The 12339-nt window shown below is 47.0% G+C and overlaps 2 annotated features.

Moving 5' to 3' along the window:
- Nucleotides 3124–3263: an enhancer, noted in NCBI's record as "active region_12212". NCBI's record gives its function as "activates an Ori minimal core promoter by ATAC-STARR-seq in GM12878 lymphoblastoid cells {active_cell/tissue: GM12878}" and the evidence as "EXISTENCE:reporter gene assay evidence [ECO:0000049][PMID:35858748]".
- Nucleotides 10612–10961: a transcriptional cis regulatory region, noted in NCBI's record as "candidate enhancer chr17.2672 targeted for multiplex CRISPR interference". NCBI's record gives its function as "positively regulates TMEM106A gene expression in K562 cells {active_cell/tissue: K562}" and the evidence as "EXISTENCE:mutant phenotype evidence [ECO:0000015][PMID:30612741]".

Genomic DNA, 12339 nt, shown 5'->3' on the forward strand with positions numbered 1-12339 from the left:
TTCTCTAGTGGTTGCCAGTAATTTAAATGGCCAGTGCCTTCTACTTCTGGTGGAAGATTGCAGGGAGGTAGTAAATACATAGGGGCCTAAGTCTTCAGGATTGTTTTTTTTTTTTTTTGAGATAGGGTCTTGCTCTGTCGCTTTGTCACCCAGGCTGGAATGCAGTGGCATAATCACGGTTCACTGCAGCCTCGACCTCCCTGGCTCAGGCGATCCTCCTGTCTCAGCCTCTTAAGTAGCTGGGATCACAGGCACACACCACCTAAATCTTCAGGATAAAAAGGGCAAAGCAGGTTCTCCTTAGAGCATGGTGGGTTGTCAGGGCCCCATTAGGCTCTTATACACACCATAAAGTTATATAGTAGTGACAGCTAACACGCACACATACGCTGTGAGAAGTACATTATTTTGTTGAATCCTCACAACAACCCTATGAAGTGGTAGATACTAATTTTTTTTTTTTTGAAATGGAGTCTGGCTCTATTCCCCAGGCTGGAGTGCAGTGGCATGATCTCGGCTCACTGCAAGCTCCACCTCCCGGGTTCCAGCAGTTCTCCTGTCTCAGCCTCCCAAGCAGCTGGGACTACAGGTGCCCGCCACTGCGCCTGGCTAATTTTTTTGTATTTTTAGTAGAGACGGGGTTTCACCGTGTTAGCCAGGATGGTCTCGATCTCCTGACCTCATGATCCACCTGCCTCGGCCTCCCAAAGTGCTGGGATTACAGGTGTGAGCCACCGCACCCGGCTGGTAGATACTAATTTTTAAAATACAATAACAAGGCCGGGTGCGGCGGTTCACGCCTGTAATCCCAGCACTTTGGGAGGCCAAGGCAGGCGGATCACCTGAGGTTAGGAGACCAGCCTGGCCAATATGGTGAAACCCCATCTCTACTAAAAATACAAAAAGTTAGCTGGGCATGGTGGTGCATGCCTGTAATCCCAGCTACTCAGGAGGCTGAGGCAGGAGAATCGCTTGAACCTGGGAGGCGAAGGTTGCAGTGAGCCGAGATTGCGCCACTGCACTCCAGCCTGGGTGGCAGAGCAAGACTCCGTCTCAAAAAAAGAAATAAAAGTAAAACAATAAGGCCGGGTGTGGTGGCTCACGCCTGTAATCCCAGCACTTTGGGAGGCTGAGATGGGCGTATCACAAGGTCAGGAGATCGAGACCATCCTGGCTAACATGGTGAAACCCTTTCTCTACTAAAAATACAAAAAAAAAAACAAATGAGCCAGACATGGTGGCAGGCGCCTGTAGTCCTAGCTACTCGGGAGGCTGAGGCAGGAGAATGGCGTGAACCCAGAAGGCGGAGCTTGCAGTGAGCCAAGATCGCGCCACTGCACTCCAACCTGGGCAACAGAGTGAGACTTTTGTCTCAAAAAAATAATAAAAATAACAATAAAAGTACAAATAAAAACCAATACAGTATAACAATGATTTACAAGCATTTACCTTGTATTAGGTACTACAAGTAATCTAGAGATGATTTAAAGTACTGTACAGGAGGATGTGCATAGGTTATGTGTAAATTCTACACCATCTTATATATTTTCTTCTTTCTGTTTTTTTTTTTTTTTTGAGACAGTCTCACTCTGTTGCCCAGTGCAGTGCAGTGGTACCATCTCGGCTCGCTGCAACCTCTTCCTCCCAGGTTCAAGCAATTCTTGTGCCTCAGCCTCCCTAGCAGCTGGGATACACACATGCGCCGCCATGCCCAGCTAATTTTTGTATTTTTTGTAGATATGGGGTTTCTCTATGTTGGCCAGGCTGGTCTCGAACTCTTGACTTCAAGTGATCTGCCCACCTTGGCCTCCCAAAGTGCTGGGATAACAAGCATGAGCCATGGCCATATTTTATTTTTTCTAAACCATTTTATTTAATTAAGGATCTGCAGATTTTGGCATCCTTGGGTGTCCTGGAACCAATACCCTGTGGGTACCAAGAGACAACTGTACTTGCTCACTATTGGCCTAGGAATGTACTTTTCCTTCTATGAACCTGTTTATCTTTCATGGTTATCCCCCCTTTGCCAGGTAAGTATGAACCTGTTTATCTTTCATAAAGCTCTACATGTGAACAGAGAACAATATACAGGCCAGGCCCCTATGAACAGAGGGGACCCTTTCAGGACTGATGGGCAGAGAACAGGCCATCAGAAGCTAGGCCCTAGGCTACTGAGGGGTAGCAGAGAGGCCACGAGCCTGTTATCATCACAGCCAAGACAACCAGCCTGTCACTATCAGTTGCCAGTGTCTTCAGGGGGCTGACTCAGGGAGAGCCAGCCTGGTTGGTGTGAACCAGCTGCCTGTTCTCCCAAAAGGAAGGAAGATGACTTCAGTGAAAACCAGTGTGCACCTGGTCCCTTCTCAGCTCCTCCTCCTACTTCTGTACCACTAGGTTCCTTGCCTCAGTCCTCCTTTCCTTCCCCTGCCCTTGAAGACCAACCTTGCATTAGTTGCTCCAGGCATCTGCACGAGTGCTGGTGCTGAGTAGGGGATCACAAGCTGGCACAAGTAGCGAGGCTGCTGTATGTGAGTGGCCAGCTGGCCCACCTCCAGGCCATAAGCAACCCCCAGGCCCTCTTTTGGAGGATCCAGTTAAGTAGCACGTAAAGCCCTGAGCAGGAGAAAACACCAGGTAGTCCAGAATAAAAGTTATGTCTGGTTAGTACTACAGCCACCAACCCAGAGGGGTGAATACATGCCCTGGGGGGAAAAATGGAGCTGCAAAGACACCTCCTTTTCCTGATGGCTAAGTATCAGGCATTCTAAGCACAGACAAAGCCTTCGGTGCTAACTTCAGAACCAGATCCCTCCCCCAAGGCTATTTCCAGATCACCCATCACCCCAAACCAGGGCAGCCCCTCCCTGTTCTTGGCCAGCCTGCAAACCCCAAAGTGTGTCAACTAGAGGGCAGCTCAGAGGCCAGGTGGAAAGGGAGGGAGGCCTCTGGGAATCAGGACAGCAGGTGGTGCTGGTAGTGAAAAGTCCCTGTGGTTTGAGAGACTGTAAGCCACAGAAGAGACTGTCCCCGCTGAGAGACAAGGACTGCTGCAGAAACAGAAAGCCTGGAGGCTGGCCAGTGCTCAAGCCTGGAATAGGAACTTCTCTGCAACTAAATAAAAGAAAATTAGCTGTTTAAAGCTAATGTTCCTAGACTTCAGTGTGATGTGACCCCAGGGACCCTCAAACATGCATGACACGGACATCTATATCAGGAAGCTCATAGGCAAAAATAGAGCTGTGTAAACGAATCTGAAACTTAGAAGCTGTAACTTTGGAAAGTGAGACGTGAAGAGGTGGCGAGCACACACGGTGGGTGGGGAGCACGTGGCGAGCAGAGACACTGGACAAAGAGTTGGTGGGTCAGTCCATTAAGCCTTATCCTGGTCTCTACCAGTTGCAAACATTCTAGATCTCCCTAGTAAATGGGCTCCTCAGTGGAGAGTCCATTGAAATCCAACATGTAACCCACCCCCAAGTAATGCCCACCTCCAGCACTTGCTCCCTTTCCATTCCTTCTCAGGTATCTCAAGCAGGGAAGGGGCTGCCCTAGGAAAGTAACAGAAATATTTGAAATTGACATTCTGAACTACTAATACATCACTTATAAGATTTACTTAAATTTGGCCAGGTGCGGTGGCTCACATCTGTAATCCCAGCACTTTGAGAGGCTGAGGCGGGTGAATCACTTGAGGTCAGGAGTTCGAGACCAGCCTGACCAACATGGTGAAACCCTGTCTCTATGAACAATACAAAAATTAGCCAGGTGTGCTGGCAGGCCTGTAATCCCAGCTACTCAGGAGGCTGAGGCAGGAGGATTGCTTGAACCCAGGAGGCAGAGGTTGCAGTGAGCTGAGATTGTGTCACTGCACTCCAGCCTGGGTGACAGAGCGAGACTCCACCTCAAAAAAAAAAAAAAAAAAGTTTTAAAATTAGCCAGGCATGGTGGTGCATACCTGTGGTCCCTGCTACTCCACAAGCTGAGGTGGGAGGATCGCTTGACCCGGGAGGTCAAGGACAGTGAGCTGTGATCACGCTACTGTTCTCCGGCCTGGGCAAGAGAGTGAGACCCCGGCCACTCCAAAAAAAAAAAAGAAACATTCCATGATGGGGACAAAAAATTAAATAAAATAAGAACAACCCCCCCGCCCCCAGAAATCTTCACATTCCCTTAGTCCTAGGAAAACCAGGACAGTTGGTCACCCTAAATGAAAAACCACCACGGAGAATGATTAGAAAATCGCAAAGCAGTACATATAAATAATCAGGGCTGAATTAAGGCCTGGTAGATATTTGTTCATGAATTAAGCAAGGATTTATTAAAAACGGAGATTGAGTTGCTCAGCACTAAGCTTCACAATGGACCCTACCTAAAGGGGTTCCCACTTTTACTAGAGGGGTGATATAGCATTGTTACCATTTGGATAGTGTTTTACCCTGCATGATGCACCTGCACATGCATTCATTATCTGGGTTTTCTGAGGGAGGTTTTTTTCGTCATTTATCATCATAGGGAAATCGGTTTAGGGAGGGTAAGTAATTTGTCCAACATCACACAGCTGGTACATAAAAGACACACTAGACCTCATGTCCTCTGGCACCAAATCAATACACTCTTTCCTCCACACCCACTAAGAAGTGCTCAGAGGTGATGCAACCTGAATTGCAGTTGTTGGTTTGGAGAGTTTTATTTATTTATTTTTTTGACACAGAGTCTCGCTCTGTCACCCAGGCTGGACTGCAGTGGCGCGATCTCATTTCACTGCAACCTCCGCCTCCCAGGTTCAAGCAATTCTCCTGTCTCAGTCTCCCAAGTAGCTGGGACTACAGGCGCATGCTACCACACCCAGCTAATTTTTGTATTTTCAGTAGAGACAGCGTTTCACCATATTTGTCAGGCTGGTCTTGAACTCCTGACCTCAGGTGATCCACCCGCCTTGGCCTCCCAAAGTGCTGGGATTACAGGCATGAGCCACTGTGCCCGGCCTTTTGTGTTTTATTTTTGAGACAGGGTCTCCCTCTGTTGCCCAGGCTGGAGTATGGGTGGCACAATCATGACTCACTTCAGCCTTGGCTGAAGCTATCTTCCTGCCTCCGCCTGCCAAGTAGCTGGGACCACTGGTGCGTGCCACCATGCCTGGCTAATTTTTAAAATTATTTGTAGAGACAAGGTCTCCCTATGTTGCCCAGGCTGGTCTCAAACTCTTGGCCTCAAGAGATCCTCTTGCCCCAGCTTCCCAAAGCGCTGGCATTACAGGCATAAGCCTCTGGGCCTGGCCTCAGTTGCAGGTTCTTAAGTGAGAAGGGACATGATGAAATCTGTGTTTTAGGGCTGGTGCGGTGGCTTGCACCTGTAATCCCAGCACTTTGGGAGGCTGAGGCAGTGAAATTGCTTGAGCCCAGGAGTTTGAGAATAGCCCGGGCAACACAGCAAAACCCGTCTCTAGAAAATATACAAAAATTAGCAGGGCATGGTGGTGTGCACCTGTGGTCCCAGCTACTTGGGGGGCTGAGGTGGGAGGATCACTTGAGCCCAGGAGGCAGAGGTTGCAGCAAGCCGAGATCACACCATTGTACTCCAGCCTGAGTGACAGAGCAAGACCTTGTTTCAAAAAAAATAAAAATCTGTGTTTTAGGATACTTTGTCTGAAGCTGGCTTAAAATGTAAATCAGCAAATTGGCAGTTTTTTGAATGAAAAAACACTCAGTGGTTTTTGGGGGTGTTGTTGTTGTTGTTTAGAGACAGTCTTGCTCTGTCACTCAGGCTGGAGTACAGTGATACAATCATAGTTCATGGTAACCTTGAACTCCTGTGTTCAAGCAATCCTCCCGCCTCAGTGTGCCAAGTACATGGGACTACAGGTGGTGCCACCATACCTGGCTAATTTTAATTTTTTTTTTTTTTTTTAGAAATGGGGTCTCACTGTATTGCCCAGATTGGTCTCAAACTCCTGGCCTCAAGTGATCCACTTGCTTTGGCCTCACAAATTGCTGGGATTAAGGCATGAGCCACTGCACCTGGCCTTTCTTTTTGTTTTCTATATTTTCCAAATGGTCTATAATTAATATGTATTACTTTTATAATCAGAAACAAGTATATTTTAAGTGTAAATAAGTAGAAGAGTAAACAGGAAAAGAAGCTAGAGGTAAAGTGGCCACAGATGGTAAATGACAATAAGGTAGATATGAAAAACAGAGATGATTATAACAGAACAGAAGGAGAAATCTAACTGCTTGGTGGTGGAGATCAATACATTCTTATTTCAGACAGATTTTTACTCTCTTTCTGAAAACTATGGGAGACATGAGGGTTTAGGGTTATTTCAAAAAACAAGTGGAGGCTGGGTACTCATGCCTGTAATCCCAGCACTTTGGGAGGCCAAGTCGGGAGGATCACTTGAGGCCAGGAGTTTGAGATCAGCCTGGGCAACATAGCGAGACCCTGTCTCCACAAAAATAAGCCAGGGCTGGTGGCAGGTGCCTGTATTCCTCGCTACTCAGGAGGCTGGAGTGAGGAGGATTGCTTGAACCCAGAAGTTCAAGGCTGCAGTGAACTATGATTGTGCCACTGCACTCCAGCCTGGGCAACAGAGGGAGATTCTATCTCAAAAAAAAAAAAAGTGGATATATTTGATTCAAATTTAGAACTACAAAAGAATAGCAAGCAAAGAAACAAGCTCAATATTTTTCATACCATGACCAACAAGAAAACTTAACATTCTAAATGAACTTTCTATAATATATTAGTTAGTGTACAAGTATTATAAAATATACATTCATGATATACAATTGTATACATTAATATGCAATACAAATGGATATAAAGTATCTCAACAAAAGTTTTTTTTTGTTGTTTTTATGTTTGTTTGTTTTGTTTGTTTATTTTTAGGAGACAAGGTCTCACACTGTCACCCAGGCTGGAGTGCAGTGGCATGATCATAGCTCAGTGCAGCCTCAAATTCCTGGACTCAGCCTGTAATCCCAGCACTTTGGGAAGCCGAGGTGGGCAGATCACCTGACTTCAGGAGTTCGAGACCAGCTTGGCCAACATGGTGAAACCCTGTCTCTACTAAAAAGACAAAAATTAGCCAGGCATGGTGGTGGGCATCTGTAATCCCAGCTATTTGGGAGGCTGAGGCAGGAGAATCACTTGAACCCAGGAGGCAGAGGTTGCAGTGAGCCAAGGTCGCTCCATTGCACTCCAGGCTGGGCCACAAGAGTGAGTCTCAAAAAAAAAAAATGCCTGGGCTCAAGTAATCCTCCTGCCTCAGCCTCCCAAGTAGCTAGGACTGCAGGTGCCTGGCACCACACCTGGCCTCAATGAAACTCTTAAAGTGATGAATAAATACTCGAAATGCTAGGGATGGACTGCTGAACATAAATATAATTTTTGCATATAATCATATGCTTTGGTTTGTTTTTTCAAATTCAAAATAAAATGTTGCAAAACATAAGTTGTCCAGCTAGGCACAGTGGCTCACACCTGTAATCCCAGCACTTTCAGAGGCCGAGGCAGTGGGATTGCTTGAGCCCAGGAGTTTGAGAACAGCCTCAGCAACATGGTGAAACCCTGTCTCTACAAAAAATACAAAACTTAGCTGGGTGTGGTGGCACACGCCTGTACCCAGTCACTTGGGGGGCTGAGGTGGGATAATGTCTTATGGGATGGGACAGTGTCTTTATCTCTATTTCCCTGTTATCTACTACAGGCCCTGCACAATGTAGCTGTTCAAAAAACATTTGTTGAACAAATGAAAAAATGATGTCAAGGCCATAACTTTTACTCCTCCTCTTTTCATTAACAAGAAGACATTAAGAGATTTGCCACATAATCAAATAAAAGCACACCCCAGGACAAATTAATGTGTTGACCACATTGGATCAGGAATATTGAGACTTTAATCCTAGACTGTTTTCAGAGAGGAGTTGGAAAATGGGGAAAAAAGATGTAATTTCTCCAACTAGAAATTAACTTATTAAAATTCATGCATAACATAAGCTATTCCAAGATTCCCCCTTTTTTTTTTTTTTTTTTTTTGACACAGGGTCTTGCTTTGTCACCCAGACTGGAGTGCAGTGGCACGATCACGACTCACTGTAGCCTTGACCTTCTGGGCTCAAGCAATTCCCTGCCTTAGCCTTCCAAGTAGCTGGGACTACAGGCATGCACCACCATATCTGGCTAATTTTTTTGGTATTTTTTTGTAGAGACAGGGTTTTGCCATGTTGCCCAGGCTGGTCTCGAACTCCTGAGTTCAAGTGATCTGCCCGTCTCAGCCTCCCAAAGTAGCAGGATTACAGGTGTGAGCCACCAGGCCTGGCCTATTCCAAGATCCTTACACCAAATAGCTTATAGTATCAGAAACCAAATGGCTTGATGTAGCTGAATTTCTGATACTTGATACTTTGGAAATTTTCCCAATGGACACATTATACAAGATGCCATTAGCACCTGAATGGAAACAAACTGGTGACTACAAGTATTCTACATCCTGCCAGATCAAATAATAGTCATGAGTCATAACTGGATCTGCAGACAGCTGCGTAAAACAGATTATCAGTGGAAGGTATGGCAGTTCCAAGGCCTGACCTGCAAAGTCAGTCGGGAAAAGGGTGCGGTCAGAACCAGCACAGCTGGAAGGTCACCCACAGAATAAAAGTTGCCAACTGGATGTGTTCCTCTAAGACAACTTTGCAATGACACAGAAGCACAGCCATGGTCAAGAGATGGCCAGAAGGAGGTGGTGAGGAGCTGAGAGAGGTCCTTGGTGATCCTCAACCTACAACTGGGCTAATGAGGCAAACACTGGACCAAACAGCCCTAAATCTCACCCAAAGACTTGAAGGCTGTCCGTCTTCGTTCCCCTGACACACACAGTACTCCCTGAGAATTCCCATTCTCTCTACGTCCCATCCTTCTTTAGGATTTCTGAACCTAGAGAAATTTGCTCCCTGAAATTTTCTGTGGTGCCCACATAGATTTCAAGTTATGGAAATGGCTCTATAAGGAATACCTGGCTGAGTGCAGTGGCTCACGCCTGTAATCCCAGCACTTTGGCAGGCCGAGGTGGGTGGATCACCTGAGGTCAGGAGTTCAAGACCAGCCTGGCCAACATGGCGAAACCCCATCTCTACTAAGAATACAAAAATTAGCCGGGCATGGTGGTATGCGCCTGTAATTCCAGCTGCTTGGGAGGCCGAGGCAGGAAAATCGCCTGGACCCAGGAGGTGGAGGTTGTAGTGAGCCGAGATCGTGCCACTGCACTCCAGCCTGGGCAACAGAGCAAGACTCAGTCTCAAAAAAAAAGAAAAAAAAAGAGTACCCCATCAGCCTGGGCCCCAAGGATGGAAATGAATCACAGATAACACTGGCCACAGGGATGGTATAGAAAGGTACTAGGTCCCCAGGGTACCCGGAAGGGATGAAGTAGAGATGAACAGAATGGAGTTTAGGTCACGGAGCTTAAGAAGGCCAGGTTACTACTTCTGCTTCTAAGACACAACCATAGGCAATACGGCTCAAGAGGATCACCTACCCCGAGCCAGGAGACAACCTTAAACTGAAGTCTAGTGTGGTTCCTTGGAAATCCTTGTGACTTGGCCCTCTTGTGAGGCATAAATTGAATCTGGCCTGAGAATATCCTAATACTCTGTTTCCTCTGACAACAAATTGTGTTTAGTGACCTCCCCATAGTGACTGCTCTATTCCTACTGGCTATGTTCCATTGGATGCATAGTATTTATGTGCATAGTATTTTTTTTTTTTTTTTGAGATAGGGTCTCACTCTGTTGCCCAGGCTGGAGTGCAGTGGCATGATCACTGCTCACTTCAACCTCCGCCTCCCCGTTTTTTTGTTTTTTTTTTTTTTGAGAAGGAGTCTCACTCTGTTGCCCAGGCTGGAGTGCAGTGGCATGATCACTGCTCACTTCAACCTCCGCCTCCCCGTTTTTTTGTTTTTTTTTTTTTGAGAAGTAGTCTCACTCTGTTGCACAGGCTGGAGTGCAGTGGCATGATCTCAGCTCACTGCAAGCTCCGCCTCCCGGGTTCAGGCCATTCTCCTGCCTCAGCCTCCCAAGTAACTGGGACTACAGGCGCCTGCCACTACGCCAGGCTAATTTTTTGCAATTTTAGTGGAGACAGGGTTTCACTGTGTTAGCCAGGATGGTCTCGATCTCCTGACCTCGTGATCCGCCCGCCTCAGCCTCCCAAAGTGCTGGGATTACAGGCGTGAGCCACCACGCCCAGCTGCCTCCCCATCTTAAGCCGTCCTCCCACCTCAGCCTCCCGAGTAGCTGAGACTAGAGGCACATGCCAACATGCCTGGCTAATTTTTAATTTAATTTAATTTAATTTATTTGTTTTATTTTATTTTATTTATTTTGAGACAGAGTCTCGCTGTGTCATCCAGGCTGGAGTGCAGTGGTGTGATCTCGGCTCACTGTAACCTCCACTTCCCAGGTACAAGTAATTTTCCTGCCTCAGCCTCCTGAGTATCTGGGATTATAAGCACCTGCCACCACGCCTGGCTAATTTTGGATTTTTAGTAGAGACAGGGTTTTGTCATGCTGCCCAGGCAGGTCTCGAACTCTGAAACTCAAGTGATCTTCCCGCTTCTGCCTCCCAAAGTGCTGGGATTACAGGTGTGAGCCACTGTGCCTGGCCTACACAGTATTGATTTCTCTGACTGCCTTACAGTTGCCACCAGCTCACTCAGAAGGTTCCAGACTACTATCTCTAGCCCACAGAGATACATGTAACTACTGTTATCTGGTGATGTAGCAGTTGTTAATCCATAGGCCCTAGGCCATCAAAATGAGCATGACTACACTGCCAGACTCCATTCACTTGTGTTCCTGCTGTGTGAACCACAACGCCGCTATAAATGCATTGTTCCTTCTCTTTTGCCCTACACCAAAAGTTCTTAACTTTTGTTCATTCACAGATCTGTTTGAGAATCTGCTTGGACATTTCCCGGAAAGAAATGGACACATAGATTTGCAAACAATTTCAAGATGTTCTCCACACATAAAGCCCATCCTTGGGATCCCAACTTAATGCTCACAATTTCTGATGGTAAGAAATGAAGACACTTCGGCCAGGCACGGCGGCTCATGCCTGTAATCTCAGCATTTTGGGAGGCCAAGGCAGGTGGATCACCTGAGGTCAGGAGTTCGAGACCAGCCTGGCCAACATGGTGAAATCCTGTCTCTACTAAAAATACAAAAATTAGCTGAGTATGGTGGCACGCACCTGTAATCCTAGCTACTCAGGAGGCTGAGGCAGGAGAATCTCTTGAACCTGGGAGGTGGAGGTTGCAGTGAGCCAAGATCACACCACTGCACTCCAGCCTAGGCACAGAGTGAGACTGTGTCTCAAAAAAAGAGAAAAGAAAGAAAGAGAGAAAGAGAGAGAGACAGAGAGAAAGAGAAAAAGAGAGAGAGAGAAAGAGAAAAAGAAAGTGAGTGAGAGAGAGAAAAAGAGAGAGAGAGAGAGAGAGAGAGAGAGGGAGGGAGTCCAACCAGTTGCTGTTGTCACCTGTCCACCTAGCTCAGGCAGCAGGCTCATCATGACCAATCAAGGCAGAGCTCCTCTCTGAGACTGACACAGGACCCTCCCCTTGCCCACACCCAGACACTCCCACTTATGGGTCTAGGGCAGACCTTACATACCTTTCCCTATGGCCACCTAGGTGACACTAGTGCCCACTTTGACACCTTGGAACAGCGGATGAAAAGGACTTCCCGCTGGGCGCAGTGGCTCACACCTGTAATCCAAGCACTTTGGGAGGCCAAGGCTGGTGGTTCACTTGAGGTCAGGAGTACAAGGCCAGTCTGGCCAACATGGTGAAACTCTGTCTCTACTAAAAATACAAAAATTAGCCAGGCATGGTGGCGGGTGCCTGTAATCCCAGCTAGGGAGGCAGAGGTTGCCGTGAGCCGAGATGGCACCACTGCACTGCAGCCTGGGTAACAGAGCAAGACTCCATCTCAAAAAAAAAAAAAAAAAAAAAAAAAAAGCTGGGCATGGTGGTGTGCACTTGTAATCCCAGCTACTTGGGAGGCTGAGGCGAGAAGATCGCTTGAACCCAGGAGAGGGAGATTGCAGTGAGCTGAGATCGAGCCACTGCACTCCAGCCTGGGCGACAGAGCATGACTCTCAAACAAACAAACAAACAAAAAAACTTTCCCTAGGTCTACTAGGCCACGTCTTTTCTGTGTTCCTCCTTCTCCCTTCTTGTCTTTCTCTCTCTCTCTCTCTCTCTCTCTGTCACACACACACACACACACACACACACACACACACACACACACTCCAGCTGTCAGTAGAAGAGCCAGAGTC

Source organism: Homo sapiens, chromosome 17, assembly GCF_000001405.40.
Source record: "Homo sapiens chromosome 17, GRCh38.p14 Primary Assembly".
Lineage (NCBI taxonomy): Eukaryota > Metazoa > Chordata > Mammalia > Primates > Hominidae > Homo > Homo sapiens.